This window comes from Homo sapiens, chromosome 16 (genome assembly GCF_000001405.40).
Source record: "Homo sapiens chromosome 16, GRCh38.p14 Primary Assembly".
Lineage (NCBI taxonomy): Eukaryota > Metazoa > Chordata > Mammalia > Primates > Hominidae > Homo > Homo sapiens.
The window spans coordinates 1,907,961-1,922,334 of NC_000016.10; the positions used below are offsets into that span (position 1 = coordinate 1,907,961).

Genomic DNA, 14,374 nt, shown 5'->3' on the forward strand with positions numbered 1-14,374 from the left:
TGGGACCAGGGCATGCTCAGGGCTTCCATGCCCGTGTGTGCAAGGCTTAGGGCGGAGAGCACGGCCACCTGGTCCCACCCACCCATCCCAGCAGGCCAGGAGGGCAGGGGCTTTGTGAGAACCCTCGAGGCGGAAGCAGCCTCCTCCCCAGGCTTCTCCGAGCCCCTTCCTGGACTCCCAGGGCTGTGAGGACCCCAACCCGTGGCCCACGCCATCCTGGTCTGGCTGGGGTAGGAGGGCTGGAGATGGGCTCCCAGGCCCCTTCCCCTCCACCGGGCGGAACAGGAAGAGGGTAATTGAATCAGCGCTTCTCGCCCCATCTGGAACATTCCAACATGGAAAACCCACGGAGCGGCTGGGGAAGCAATTTAGGGACTTTAATTAAAGGCTGATGACTCTCCCAGGGAGCGCCTCCCTGCACGCAGCCCGTAGGTCCCCACCGACATCTGCCCTCCGTGTGTTCGGAGGCCCAGCTGGGCACCTCACCCGCATTGAGTGCTGGTGGTTAGGCGGAGTTCCTGCTCAGCGGGTGCAGAATACGCCAGCCCACCCCTCGCTGCTTCCAGAGTCTGCCCCCCCAGGCCCTGGGTTCAGGCCCCAAAGCCAGCCAAACCAGTGCCCCACCCCTCACAGCTCTGTGTCGGGACGGAAACAATGGGGTCATTTGGTGGACTCAGAAAAGGAACTCTAAACGGAGGGAGGAAAGTAGCAGAGCCTCAGTGAGAGCAGCTGCCCCTCCATCCCGTCAGCACCTTCTGCAGGGAAAGGCATTCCAGACAGAGGGAATAGCACATGCAAAGCCCATGAGGTTGGACAGGCCACGGCAGGTGGAAGGAGCTGGCAGGTGCCAGTGTGGTGGGCGTGCTGGAATAAGGAGCGCATGTAGGACGGAGGGGCAAGCCGTAGAGGGCTGTAACAGCTGTGATCTGGAGTTTGGTTTTCATCCTAGAAGCAATAAGGGGAAAAGGTGGGGATCAGAGAGTTTTAAAACAATAGGATCTGGTTTATTCCGCGACGGCCCTCCAGCTGCCATGCGGAGAGCTCACTGTAGAACAAAAGAGGTGGTGGGATGATGGTGAGCAGCCCCTGAAACGGCCCAGGCATGAGAAGGGTGTGTCCAGGAAGAAGAAATCCACATGCACCGGGCTGGGAACTGGGTCACCAGGGGCCAGGGGCTGTCCTGTATTCCTTCCCACCCCCAGGCCTGGGGCAGGCAGTTGGCCCGGTCTTCACAGAGGGCACCCGTGCAGGGGGTGGGGACAGAGCAGCCCAGCCCAGTGATCCCCTCCTGGCAGGGATCCGAGGTGGAGTCTGTTCCCTCTTCCCAAAGCTGCTGTCAGTCGGGGGGGCCCTTTCCCCTCCACCCACATCAGAGCTTCGAGGTAGGACGGAGGCTGTGCCTGTGACTTGTCCACATCTGGGCCCACATCTGCCCACCATGTTGCCACTGCAGTCTCTGGGTGGGTGCTCGGAGGGGAGCTCAGAACCGGCCTCCAGCCCTGCCTCTGTCCTGGCCTGGGATGGAGAGGCCTGTGGGAAGTGCCTGCCCCTCAGGGCAGCTGCAGAGCAGAGTGTCCACTGGGCCCAGAAACTAGCAGGAGGCGGGGTGGGTGTCCAGACGCAGCCCCTCCTGCAAATCCTTCCTCACTGCCTGCATTCCCAAAACAGGGAGTGGCTCCAAGTAGCTGAGAGGCAGAAAGACCATATCAGGGCCTGTGGGACTCAGCGGGGCTGTGGAGACCACAGCTAGGCCTTGCGACAGACCTGGGGCTAAGCCCAAGCAGCCCCGGAGGTCATCGTCAGGGCAGCTGGTGGGCACCTGGCAGACAGCACGTGGCCACAAGCAGGTGAGGGTCATTACTGAGGAGTCCCTCCTACTCCCAGGACACAGGGGCGGACAGGGCACCCCAGCCTGCCTGAGTCTGGCCTCAGTTATGAGCGGGCAGCTGGACTGCAGATGGCCACTGATCCCAGCCCTATCCCCAGGGGAGGGCACAGAACAAATACCACGGAACTGGGGCAGCAGGGGCCTGGGGGAGTGGGTGGGGCCAGAGAGTGGGTGGTGCCTGAATGGGTGGGCCTCTACAGGGAAGGCTAAGAGGCTATTAATCCGTCTCCCTGTGCACACACCCAACACTCGCTGACCTCACCAACACTCAGGCAATTCCACAAGGCTCCAGAAGGAAGCGTCCACTGCGCACCTGGATTCCGGATGAGCCAAGGTGGTGGGTGCGGACCCGACTTTAATCCTGCCCCACCACTCCACAGCGAGGCCTGCAGCCTCACTTTCCTCATCCTGAACATGAGGACAGCCCTGCCCAGCCTCCCAGGGCTGAGAAGAGAGCCTGAGCATGGCCCCCAGCATCACTAGGGCTAAGCTGCATGTCGCTGGGCGGGCCCTACGCCTCTCCGAGCTCACAGGCTAGACCTGACCAGGCGCACTGCCCACCTCTGAGGGTGTATAAAGAATGAGTTTTGGGCCAGGTGTGGTGGCTCCTGCCTGTAATCCCAGCACTTTGGGAAGCCAAGATGGGCGGATCACTTGAGGTCAGGAGTTCGAGACCAGCCTGGCCAACATGGTGAAACCCCATCTCTACTAAAAATACCAAAAAAAATTAGCTGGGCATGTTGGCGCATGCCTGTAATCCCAGCTACCTGGGAGGCTGAGGTAGGAAAATCGCTGGAACCCAGGAGGTGGAGGCTGCAGTGAGCTGAGATCACACCACTGCACTCCAGCCTGGGCCACAGAGGGTGACTCTGTCCTAAGAAAAAATTAAAATTGGCTGGGTGTGGTGGTTCACGCCTGTAATCCCAGCACTTTGGGAGGCCAAGGCGAGTGGATCACCAGGTCAGGAGATACAGACCATCCTGGCTAACATGGTGAAACCCTGTCTGTACTAAAAAAAAAAAAAAAAAAAAAAAAAACACAAAATTACCCAGGTGTGGTGGCACACGCCTGTAATCCCAGCTACTTGGGAGGCTGAGACAGGAGAATTGCTTGAACCTGGGAGGCGGAGGTTGCAATGAGCTGAGATCACACCACTGCACTCCAGCATGGTGACAGAGCAAGACTCCATCTCAAAAAAAAAAAAAAAAAAAAAATAGCTGGGTGCGGTGGCTCACGCCTGTAATCCCAGCACTTTGGGAGGCTGAGGCGGGTAGATCACGAGGTCAGGAGATCGTAGCCATCCTGGCTAACACGGTGAAACCCCGTCTCTACTAAAAATACAAAAAGAAATTAGCTGGGCGTGGTGGTGGGCGCCTGTAGTCCCAGCTACTCGGGAGGCTGAGGCAGGAGAATGGCGTGAACCCGGGAGGTGGAGCTTGCAGTGAGTCGAGATCACGCCACTGCACTCCAGCCTGGGCGACAGAGCGAGACTCGATCTCAAAAAAAAAAAAAAAAAAAAAGTGCGACACGAGGCACACAGTCAGTGCCCAGTGGAGTTCGCTGATATGGTTACCACATCCCTGGGGACAGCGCCTCCACCCTCCAACCTCGAGGTTTGTGGAAAAATCTGGGTCCAAGCTTTATTTCTTAAATATTCCTCTCTGCCCAGCATGTGCACGCAGCCCGCTCTGGCCAGGCGAGCGGGTGTCAATCAAGGTGCTGAGCATCCCCAGGGTGCCGCTCAGCCCCAGCCGAAGTCCTGGCCCGTCATCTGGTAGAACCTGCGGTTGAAGGGCCGGTAGAACTCCTGCAGGCGCCGGACCAGGGCCTGGGGCACGCGTGGGTGTGGCCGGCCCTTGGACTTGCCCAGGCAGCGGGGACGGCTGCCGCCCTGGGCCTTCTTGAGGCAGGGGAAGCCCTTGGTGGCGTTGAAGTAGAAGTGCTTGTCCGTGACGACCCGTTTCAGGCCCAGGAAGTCCTGCACGCGGCCGACCTCTCCGGCCGGGTCGCTGACCAGACGCTCCCCGCTGACGAACAGGAAGTGGGACAGGGGGAAGTAGCGCAGCCAGTGGTCCAGGTGCTGGGCGTACAGGCCGATGCGGACGGCGCTCCAGGCTGTGTCCACGGGGCCCAGGCCGTGGCGGAAGGCCAGGGCGCGGAAGCTGGGCAGGCCCGGGGTCTTGGAGAGCGTCTGGGCGTAGTCGGAGATGGCCCGGGTCACGGGGTTCCGCACCACCACGATCAGCTTCGTGTCCGGGGACATGGCGTGGATGCGGCGGGGGGCCTCTCGCGTCACGAAGTAGCTGGGGGTCTTCTCCATGGTGATCTGCCCATCCAGGGTTCGGGGCATCAGACTCCTGCGGGACGGGTGCAAGGAGAGGGGGCCTGAGCCTCCCCAGCCCTAGACCGGCCCCCAGGGGCCCGGGACCAAGGCCCCCTTATGCCCGGGAAGCCCAGGCCTCCAGGGCGAGCAAGTCTTCCTCCCTGCTCGGGCCCACCCCTGCTAGCGTGCGCGGCTGGGCAGCCTGGAACATGGACTGTGAGGGTGCCCAGCCCGGCACCTGCCTGCAGCCCGGCCTGTTCCGCCGGCCTGCCCCGCCTGCTGCTGCACTGAGGATTAGGGTGACGGTCGCTGGTCGGGAGGCCCAAATGCTCCTCACCACCCACATATCTTCCCTGTGCAATCCCTGCCGTCCTCGCTTCCAGAGCCAGCTCCCTCCCACCGGACCCACACTTTCCTGGAACTAGGCTGCCCCCAGCTCCTTTCTCATCCCAGACCAAGTACCCCGAGGCCCGCCCGCCTAGATCACTTGAGGTCACCCGTTCACTCAGTGGCTGACAGCATCCCCTAAATCAGCCCTTCACCAATTATTGACAGTGTGTCCTCAACCAAAAGTAGTCCTCCCTGCTCCCTCCCTCCCCTGATGTAATTACATCTCTTCCCATCTTTATTTATTTTTTGAGACGGAGTCTTGCTCTGTCACCCAGGCTGGAGTGTAGTGGTGCAATCTCGGCTCACTGCAACCTCTGCCTCCCGGGTTCAAGCGATTTTCCTGCCTCAGCCCCCGGAGTAGCTGGGATTACAGGTGCCCGCCACCACACCCAGCTAATTTTTGTATTTTTAGTAGAGACGGGGTTTCGCCATGTTGGCCAGGCTGGTCTCGAACTCCTGACCTCAGGTGATCCGCCTGCCTCAGCCTCCCAAAGTGCTGGGATTACAGACGTGAGCCACTGCGGCTGGCCTCTCTCCCCGTCTTTAACTGTAGCCCTGTGAATTCTCATCAGCCTGGGCCTGGACTCAGCAGGCCAAAAAGTTACCAGCAGAGCCCAGCACATGTGAGGAAAGTCGGAGACGTGGCGGCGCCGGCCGGAGGATCCTTCCCAAGACCCTGGGCCGCTGTGGCCCCCTAGATCTTGCAGGTTGCCAGGGTGCCAGGCCAGGGAGGGGGCCTTTCTGAGATTCTCCTCATTCTGACACAGGAGAGGAGGGCACTGACCCAGTCCCAAGGTCCCGGGGGAATCAGCCGACCACAGCCCAGGACTGTCCCACCTGGGCAGAGAGCCCATTCTGGGTGCCCAGCCCGGGCAGGCCCAGGCACCCCCAGCAGTGCCCCGGGCAGCACCTGCCAGCCAGGTAGTGCAGGGTGAGGTTGGGCAGGGCAGGGCGTGGTAGGTCAGCTGAGCAAACAGCTCGGAGGGAGAGCTGGGGAGGGCTGGGAACTAGGTCGATAGAAACACAGGGACTGTGTTAGGGAGGGGATGCCTTGCCAGTCACGCCCAGCCCTGACTCCTGCCCTCTGAGGGGGCTTCCCCCACCCCTGCTGACAGCCCCAGGACCGGCCCCTGCCAGGAGGCTGACCTGCCAGGAGTGACCGCCCCAGACTTGAGCCCTTGGGAGGCAGGTTCTGAGTCCCCTTTTCCTGCTCAGACCCCCAGGGAAACGCAGGCTGGGCCAGAGGCAGCTGCACAGACCCCTGCAGTGGGGTGCTCGGTGGAGAGCGCTGGAGGTGGGAGGGAGGATGTGTGAGGCAGCGGGAGAGAATCCAGGCTTCCCCCACAACACCCACCATGAGCGGTGCAGAGTAGGGGTGGGCGGCACGGGAGCCTTCCCACCCCGCAGAACCAGGCCCTGGGCAGAGCTGGCCTACAGACGATACCGGACAAGTCCTCCTCCGTCTTGGTGACAGAGGGAGCTGGGACTCCCTCCACCCACCCACTGCCACTTCAGAAGCAGCCACAGGGAGACTGGGAGGGGCAGGGGTGCTGGGGATGAGCGTGGGGCTCAGCCCTCCCTCTTCCCACCCTGGAGGGCTGCCTCCTTCCAGCCCACCTGGAAGGGTGGTGTCAGTCCCAGAGCCCCTGCACTCCCCGCCCCACCTCCTGCAGCTGGAACCCGCGTGGGAGCCGCACCCAGCGTCCCAGGGACAAACACAGAGGCCTTGGGTGGTGGCGGTACCAAGGTCTGAGGCCTGGCAGCTCAGGGGCACCCCCGTCCCTGAGAGAGGTCAAGAAGGGGAGGCACCACCCCCCACCACGGGACCTCGCTGACGATGCCCATAGAGAGAAACCAGGCCAGTGCTGGGAGGGGAAAGACCCCAGGCCTCATGAGAAGTCACTGCCTGCTTTTCCCCTCGGCCAGGAAGGAAGCCCCAGGCCCTTCCCTCCCGTCTCGGGCATACTGACCCCAGGCACCAAGCGAGACCAGGAGCCCACCCCTTTCCTTTCCCAGATGGCACACCAGTGACTCTGAATATCCTCCTCTTCCTGCCTGCTGGAGGGACCAGCACCAAAACAGGAAAGTTCACCCTGCCAGGCCTTCTCTCCAAAGAGTCAGAGGGAGCTCCGTAGGGGGATGGGGTTCCCGGACCCCCTGCCGTGGAAGGGGAGTGGGAACACAGACAGGCGGCAAGGGCTTTCGAGGCCCCCTCTTGCACAAACCAGCTCAGAGATCGGAGATCTTTGGGATCAATTACTTTCCCTCCCCAGGCATCCGAAGCCTATCCTAGCCCAGGTGTGGATGAGGGTGGGAGAGACGGGGGAGGAGGGAGAGGAGCAGGACTGGACCCCCGTGTGACAAACATCTGACAAGTTGCTCTGAGGACTGCCCCCCTCCTTGTGGAGCCCACCTCATCTGGTGTGCATTTCCCTGCGGCTTTCATCCAGCCCTGGGCGACCCTCCCTCCTCCATCTCAGCCTCCCTCCTCCTGCCCCACACCTCAGGCCTGGGACTCGCAGATGCCAAAAGGGCCTGGCAGATGCCAAAGCCAGAAAGTGCAGGGGGACTGCATCCCCCACAGGAGACCGGGTTCTTCCCCACTACATACTCAGACCCCACTCCCTGCACCCACTGCTCTTGCAAACCAGGAACTAAGGGGTTCCCCTACCCACCCCGCTCCTTGCCTCCTCTTGCTTTTCTTTTGTTTTGTTTGTTTTTGAGACAGAGCTGCACTCCAGCTGACTCTTGTCGCCCAGGCTGGAGTGCAGTGGCACAATCTCAGCTCACTACAACCTCTGCCTCCCGGGTTCAAGCGATTCTCCTGCCTCAGCCTCCCAAGTAGCTGGGAATACAGGCACCCATCACCACGCCTGGCTAATTTTTGTATTTTTAGTAGAGATGGGGTTTCACCATGTTAGTCAGGCTGGTCTCAAACTCCTGACCTCAGGTAATCTGCCCACCTCAGCCTCCCAAAGGGCTGGGATTACAGGCGTGAGCCACTGTGCCCCACCCTCCTCTTGCTTTTCTAAAAGATGATGGTCAAAGTACAGCCCCCATTTGCCCCCAGACAGGGCACCCTTCCCAGATCGAGACCTTGGGGAGTCTGCGTGACCCCCACACCTGGCAGACACAGGTGCTTCACTAGTGGGGGAACGGCTGAGCATGTGCTGAGCTCGGGGGCACTAGTGGGCTACAGTCCCCAAGTGGGAGGCCCCTCAAGAGCCTGGATGAGCTGACTGACGGTGGAGAGGAGGGAAGGAGGGCCTATGGCCAAAGTCAATCCAGGACCCAACTGCCGAGGCCACAGGAAGGCCGGGTCACCGCCTGGAACTAGGTCGGTCACAGCCCAGTGGGAGCCGTGGCCCGGAGACTCAACTGGGGGCCCTGGTTACTCTGCTCGCCTCCCCGCGTCGGCACCCAGAACAGAGCTTGCAGGCACTGGGGGCCCAGTCCAGGGTCTCAAGAGCAGACAATGCTGCCTTGCAGTTGGGGAAACTGAGACAGGGTGAGAACTTTCAGAGGCTCATTGCAGGCTCCTAGCAGGCTGAAAGGACGGAGGCACAGGCACCTAGGAGCACACCAGCCCCACGTGGCCACGGCCCCTCGGAGAGCATGAGGACACTTGCAATGCGGAAGCTCAGCAGGCCCAGCTCTACTGGCTCTGCACCGCCCAGTGAGGGGTCAGCACAGTTGGTCCAAGGGACAATACCAGATTAATGAGGCAGAAGCCACGGGACTGACCCCTTGGAATTCTCCACACCCACCCCTCCCCCTTCTAAAAAATGAGGACGTCAAGAATCTACCAGAGCAGTCACTCTCCTGTACCCCCCTCCAACCCTGGGCACGTCAGTGTCCCCGGAACCCCACCCCCAGGCTAAGGAGCTGACTCCCAAGTTGGGCCTGGCCTTGGCTGCCTCTCATCCTCCCCAAACTGATCCCCCAGCGCTGGACACATGCCCAGGGCGGGCCTGGACTGGCCTCAGGAGCCTGGGCTCTTCCAGAACCCTTTAGGGCTAAACCCAACCCTAGCTTCCCCTGTGGCTCCTCACGGCCCAGCTCAGATCCCACCCCCAGTCTCTTGCTGTCAAAGCTCATGGGGCTCAGGGGTGGCTCTGAAGTGTTTACTCCAGTTAACTGTGCATCCTTAACCCAAAGCCCTTTCTCCCCTTCCCCCTCCCGCCTCTCCCCTCCTCCCCCGTCTCGCCACTCCCCTCCTCCCCAGCTTCTAGCTTGGTAGCCCCTCCTACCCTCCTCCCTGCAGCAGGGATTAGGGATGCATTCTGACCCCTGCCTGCCGTCAGGGGAGTGAGGTCTCTCCCTGGAGCCTGAGCTGAGGATGCCCAATTCAGCCAGGTGAGCCCCGGGATGGACTCCATGTCCCCTAGCCACCACCTGACTTCCCCAGCACCCCACACTGGCACCAGCCCTTCAGATCTCAGAAGCGAGCCACCCTATTCTCACGGAGCCCCTTCCTGCCTGCCCTCCAAACCCAAGAGTAGTTTTAGTACAAAAGGCAAAGTTAACAAATAGGGGTAGGCGTCAGGGAAGGAAGAGGATCAGAGGATCGGGAACGGAGAAACTGGAGCACCTGGAGAAGCGTCTGGGTCCTGCCACCCCCACTGACTCCCCAACTGGCCTTGGGCAGGGTCCTCTCTGCAGGCGCTGGGTCCAAGCTTGGGGATGAGCAGCCACCAGCGCGGGCTGCTTCAGCTGAGGCTGCCGCACCCCCACGTCCATCCTGGGTAGAGGCAGGACAGCCACAGAGCCCCATGCACGGGGCTGGACTCACCCTGGGCACTCACCTAAAGGCAGTCTCCTCCTTTCCAAAGCCCAGACTTTCTCCGGACTCCCAGGACCACCAACAAGGGTTCCTGTGCGCAGACTCGGGGGTCTTGGGGAGGAAGGACGCTTTCTAGGTGGCTGCCTGGAACCTGGAGGCCCCTTTCTACAGTACCTGGCCAGCGGTCGGTCACACCTGAGTGCCCAGAGTGAGCGGGCGGCAGAGGCATTTCTGACGCTGCCAGGTAATCCCACGGGCTGGAAACGACCTCTGGGCTGGGAAGCCACCGCCTCCCCCAGTCCTGCTGGGTCCCTCAGCAGAGAGAACGGAACCGGGGCTTTCCCCACAGTTTTCAAAGTTTCAGGGAATCCTAGCCAAGTATCATTCCTTCTTCCGGAGCCGGGACCCCAGGTCAAGCCTGGGGCCCCCACAGGGCGGTCCCAACCCCACTGCCCGGAGCGCACCCCTGCTCCCTGGGAGGCAGGATATCGTGCCGCTGCTCCCTGGGGCGCACGATACCCTCCCCAGGAAGGCGCCGGTCAGGGCGGACGGGCCAGGGTGCTCACCGGTACCAGGCGAGGCCGCGCTCGTAGCACCTGTCGAAGAAGTGGGGCTCAGAGCCCAGCGCGCGGACGTCGGGGTGCAGCCGCAGAAACTCCAGCAGGGCGCGCGTGCCGCCCTTCTTCACGCCAACGATGAGCGCTTGCGGGAAGCGCCGGCGGCCGGGACCGCTGGCCAAAGGCAGGCCGGGTGCTCCCGGGCGGTGGACGGAGCTGGACGGCTCGGAGGGCGCGGGGGCCGGCGCGGGGGCGCGGGCGGCCGGCGGGCAGCGGCCGGGGAGGGCGCAGAGGCAGTAGGCGCCGAGCACCAGGGCCACGAGCAGCATCGGCGCGCGGGACGCCCGCAGAGCGGCCCCTTGCCCGGCCCCTGCGCCCTGGCCGCCCCCGGCCCCGCCGCCCAGGCCGCCGCTACCTGCCATGGGGTCGCGCCGCTCCAGGCCCGGGAGCGGGGGCAGCAGGCGGGCGCGCATCTCGGCCCGCGCGCCGCTCAGTCCGTGGGTGCCCGGCTTGTGCTCTGCGCCCGGCGGTCCCGCAGCCTGGGAGCGGGCGCGGGGCGGGACCGGGGGCGGGGTCTGGACGCCCTCCCCCCTCCCCCTCCCCCGCCCACTCCGCCTCCGAGGCCACTGCCTGGGCTGGACCCGCCGGCAGCCGCCACCACCCGGGCGCGACTCGAGCTGCCGGGACCACCAGGACGCTCCTGCTCCGAGATCCCAGGCCCTGGCTCGCTTGACTCCGGCATCTTCACCTCTGCGCGGGGAGGATGCGGCGGCGGTGGCCGTTCGGGACGCAGGGCAGGGACAGGGCGGCGCGCGGGCCTCGGGACCCTCTGTTTGAAGACCGATCCCCTTCCCCCCCCACCCCACTCCGGGACGTGCGCGGCAGGTGCATAGGCCAAGCCTTGGCCTGCAGGAGCGGGAGCCTCATCGCCAGGCCAAGGGGACCCAGGAAAAGCGTCGATCCGGGCACTCGGCCTGCCAAGGGAGAAAGAGGCCGGGACAGCACCCTAGTGTGCAGAGAGGGATCCCAGAACGTGTGGGGGGAGTCTGCGGCCGGGAATGGCGTGCGTCCTGCACTCCCAGCTGACAGTCACACATCGGGTCACAGCCTGGCCGCTGAGAGGTCAAGTCACCTCTGGTTACTGTTTTAGAATGGAGGGGACAGGCTCAGAGAAAATAGGTTTCCCTCCCAGGGGCCCAGTGGTGAACTGAATTCAGGCCTGAGACATACTCTGTCTACTAAGTCACCCCATCTGCCCAGCCTTGGTCCACCTGGCACTGCCCAGAGACATCAGTGATGCATTTCGGAAGCTGGCAAAGTGGACCCCACTGGAGTACAAAGGACTCAGGGACCCCTGTGCTGGGGAAGAGAAGGAGCCCAGGACCTCCCCCAGGGGCTGCCTCTGAGGGGCGTGAGATTCAGGGGCCTCTCGGGTGGGACCTGCGGGGGCCGCTAGACACTGCGGGAACTTCACATCCCCAACGCCCAGCAGCAGCCTGCAGGGAAGGCAGGGGAGGCGAGCCGGGCTCAGAGAGGGCGAGCAACTTGCCCCATCCGAAGGCAAAGGTGGTATGAGACCCGGGTCCTCTCTCCACCTCTGCCCCAGCCTTCCTGGCCACAGGGCTGGCGCCAGGCAGGCACGGCACAGGCTCCCGGCAGAGGCCCAGCCTCTTCCCAGCCAAGGGCTTGCGGCCCCTGTCCTGGGCTCTGCTGCGTTAATGAGCCGTTCCAGCCCTGATGGCATCTGGACAAGTCCCAGCAGCCGGGCTGCCTCAAGGGGCCGAAGGCCTCCACGACCCACAGACATTCCGGAGCTCCTACCCAGCAGCAGCCCTGGCCAGAGGGGGCCACACGGGGCTGACGGGGTGAAGACCACTGACCAGTCCCCCAGCCCCGGCTCCAGACATGCGGGCTGCACCTGCTCATCTGGGCAAGCCTCTGCAGGAGCCCCGTGGGCAGGCAGCGGGCACAATGCGAGGAGAGCATGCTGGCTTATGCTGGGTCACAGGAAATTCTTCTTCTGGTCTAGCTTGAAACGGTATTGTTCCCAACGGGCTGGCTCGGGGTGGGGGCTGGGGTCCCACCCTGCAGCATCCACCCCACAGTCTCAGCAGTCCCCACGGTCTCAGGAGTCCTCACGGTCTCAGGAGTCCCCACGGTCTCAGCATCCCCATGGTCTCAGCTGTCCCCAGGGTCTCAGGAGTCCCCACGGTCTCAGCCGTCCCCATGGTCTCAGCCGTCCCCAGGGTCTCAGGAGTCCCCACGGTCTCAGCCGTCCCCACGGTCTCAGCAGTCCCCACGGTCTCAGGAGCCCCCACGGTCTCAGCCATCCCCACGGTCTCAGGAGTCCCCACGGTCTCAGCAGTCCCCACGGTCTCAGGAGCCCCCACGGTCTCAGCCATCCCCACGGTCTCAGGAGTCCCCACGGTCTCAGCCGTCCCCACGGTCTGAGTCCCCACGGTCTCAGCTGTTCCCACGGTCTCAGGAGTCCCCACAGGTTCAGCAGTCCCCACGGTCTCAGCCATCCCCACGGTCTCAGCCGTCCCCACAGTCTCAGCCATCCCCACGGTCTCAGCAGTCCCTACTCAGGACTTGAAATTCCAGCACTGGTTCCGTGATGGCTCCTCCAGCCCCCTGCCCAGCCCAGCATGGTCATTTCCATCTCCTGGCCTTTCCGCTGCCGTCTCTCTGCTGGATGCTTTATCCTTAGTCCCCGCTGAGGGCAGAAGGACTTTCCAGGAGGAATTGACCAGAACGCAGAACAGCAGGATGTGGAATGGACTGGGGACAGGGAGAGAGAGATGCAGGGACCAGGAGTCGGCTCGGAGGGTTCTCCTGGAAGCTGACCCCTCCCTCCATCAGGCACTCGGCTGACGGTGGCTACACACCTCGGGGCGCCCAGGATGGCAGCACTGGGGCTGTTCATTCACCAGTGGATCCCCAGCACCTAACAGAGCCTGGCACGCAGTGGACATTCCATTAATGTCGCTCAGTGGAAGGGTATACGTGGGAGGAGAGGTCGGGAAGGCTTTCTGGAGGTGACGGCCAGGTGAAGACGAGGAGAACAGCATTCCAGGCCAAGGAACCGTGTGGGTGAAGGCTCAGCAGCAGAGAGCCCGGGCAGTAGAGGATGGGGTGGAGCTTAAGGCCCTGCGGGAACAGGGGCGGGGCTTAGAGTCTGGCCTGAGGCTGGTCCAGCCCCGCCTCCTCCTCAGGCTCCCACCAACTCTGAGCCACCAGACCCTCCTTTGTAAAATGAAGACCTCAGTCATGACTCGCATGAGTCTCTGAAGAGTAACAGCTTTATTGTGATGTAATTCACACACCACTCAATCCAGCCATTTGTCGCATGCAAATCAATGGTTTTCAGTATATTCATAGTCGTGCAATCACAATCAATTTTAGAACATTTCTATCACCCCAAAAAGAAATCCTGTGTCCATTAGCAATGACGCCCTCTTCTCCCCTTCCCACAGCCCCTGGCAACCACGAATCTACTTTCTGTCTCTATGGGTTTGCCTATTCTGGACATTTCACAAAAAGAGAATCATTGCTTGAAGCCAGGAGTTCAAGACCAACCTGGGCAACAAAGCGAGAACCCCGTCTGTACAAAATATTTTAAATTTAGCCAGGCACAGTGGCGCACACCAGTAGTCCCAGCACTTTGGAAGTCTGAGGCAGGAGGTTCACTTGAGGCGGGGAATTCAAAACCAGCCTGGGCAACATAGGGAGTACCAGTCTCTACAAAAAATTTCAAAATTTGCCAAGCGTGATGGTATGCACCTATAGTCCTAGCTTACTCAGGAGGCTGAGGTGGGAGGATCGCTTGAGCCCAGGAGTACGAGGCTGCAGTGAGCCATGATCATACCACTGCATTCCAGCCTGGGCGACAGAGTGAGAGCCCATCTCTAAAACAGAAAGAAAGAAAGAAAGAAATATGGCCAGTCACAGTGGCTCATGCCTGTAATCCCAGCATTTTGGGAGGCCAAGGCAGGTGGATCACTTGAGGTCAGGAGTTCGAGACCAGCCTGGCCAACATGGTGAAACCCTGTCTCTACCAAAAATACATAAATTAGCCAGGTGTGGGCCAGGCGCCATGGCTTACACTTGTAATCCCAGCACTTTGGGAGGCCGAGGTGGGCAGATCACCTGAGGTTGAGAGTTCGAGACCAGCCTGACCAACATGAAGAAACCCTGTCTCTACTAAAAATACAAAAAATTAGCTGGGTGTGGTGGTGCATGCCTGTAATCTCAGCTACTTGGGAGGCTGAGGAAGGAGAATGGCTTGAACCCGGGAGGCAGAGGTTGTGGTGAGCCGAGATCGCGCGATTGCACTCCAGCCTGGGCAACAACAGCAAAACTCCATCTCAAATAATAATAATAATAAATTAGCCAGGTGTGGTGGTGCACGCCTGTAGTCCCAGCTACTCGGG

At 61.8% G+C, this 14,374-nt stretch overlaps 1 protein-coding gene across 4 annotated transcripts, besides 6 other annotated features; it reads right to left on the reverse strand.

Annotated features, from left to right (window-relative positions):
* Window positions 1-3,514: 3,514 nt before the first annotated feature.
* Window positions 3,515-12,980, reverse strand: HS3ST6 (heparan sulfate-glucosamine 3-sulfotransferase 6). 4 transcript variants are annotated; one of them, XM_011522608.3, is made up of 2 exons: window positions 12,830-12,980; window positions 3,515-4,245 (listed from the first exon to the last, which is right to left on the reverse strand). In XM_011522608.3, exons 1-2 carry the CDS (start codon window positions 12,865-12,867, stop codon window positions 3,630-3,632), a joined length of 654 nt encoding a protein of 217 aa, XP_011520910.1. In that variant the 5' UTR covers window positions 12,868-12,980; the 3' UTR covers window positions 3,515-3,629. The 4 variants fall into 4 exon arrangements, with proteins under 4 accessions (XP_011520910.1, NP_001009606.3, XP_047290443.1 ...); NM_001009606.4 differs by lacking the exon at window positions 12,830-12,980 and adding an exon at window positions 9,951-10,455; XM_047434487.1 differs by lacking the exon at window positions 12,830-12,980 and adding an exon at window positions 9,407-9,518.
* Window positions 3,874-4,431: an enhancer, noted in NCBI's record as "H3K27ac-H3K4me1 hESC enhancer chr16:1961835-1962392 (GRCh37/hg19 assembly coordinates)". NCBI's record gives its function as "activates a minimal SCP1, AML or CMV promoter by ChIP-STARR-seq in primed H9 embryonic stem cells {active_cell/tissue: H9 hESC(primed)}" and the evidence as "EXISTENCE:reporter gene assay evidence [ECO:0000049][PMID:30033119]".
* Window positions 10,548-11,109: an enhancer, noted in NCBI's record as "H3K4me1 hESC enhancer chr16:1968509-1969070 (GRCh37/hg19 assembly coordinates)". NCBI's record gives its function as "activates a minimal SCP1, AML or CMV promoter by ChIP-STARR-seq in primed H9 embryonic stem cells {active_cell/tissue: H9 hESC(primed)}" and the evidence as "EXISTENCE:reporter gene assay evidence [ECO:0000049][PMID:30033119]".
* Window positions 11,110-11,673: an enhancer, noted in NCBI's record as "H3K4me1 hESC enhancer chr16:1969071-1969634 (GRCh37/hg19 assembly coordinates)". NCBI's record gives its function as "activates a minimal SCP1, AML or CMV promoter by ChIP-STARR-seq in naive H9 embryonic stem cells {active_cell/tissue: H9 hESC(naive)}" and the evidence as "EXISTENCE:reporter gene assay evidence [ECO:0000049][PMID:30033119]".
* Window positions 11,674-12,235: an enhancer, noted in NCBI's record as "H3K27ac-H3K4me1 hESC enhancer chr16:1969635-1970196 (GRCh37/hg19 assembly coordinates)". NCBI's record gives its function as "activates a minimal SCP1, AML or CMV promoter by ChIP-STARR-seq in naive H9 embryonic stem cells {active_cell/tissue: H9 hESC(naive)}" and the evidence as "EXISTENCE:reporter gene assay evidence [ECO:0000049][PMID:30033119]".
* Window positions 12,236-12,799: an enhancer, noted in NCBI's record as "H3K27ac-H3K4me1 hESC enhancer chr16:1970197-1970760 (GRCh37/hg19 assembly coordinates)". NCBI's record gives its function as "activates a minimal SCP1, AML or CMV promoter by ChIP-STARR-seq in naive H9 embryonic stem cells {active_cell/tissue: H9 hESC(naive)}" and the evidence as "EXISTENCE:reporter gene assay evidence [ECO:0000049][PMID:30033119]".
* Window positions 12,948-13,242: an enhancer, noted in NCBI's record as "tiled region #1858; HepG2 Activating DNase unmatched - State 20:ReprD, and K562 Activating DNase unmatched - State 8:EnhW". NCBI's record gives its function as "activates a minimal TATA promoter and a strong SV40 promoter by Sharpr-MPRA in HepG2 and K562 cells {active_cell/tissue: HepG2 | K562}" and the evidence as "EXISTENCE:reporter gene assay evidence [ECO:0000049][PMID:27701403]".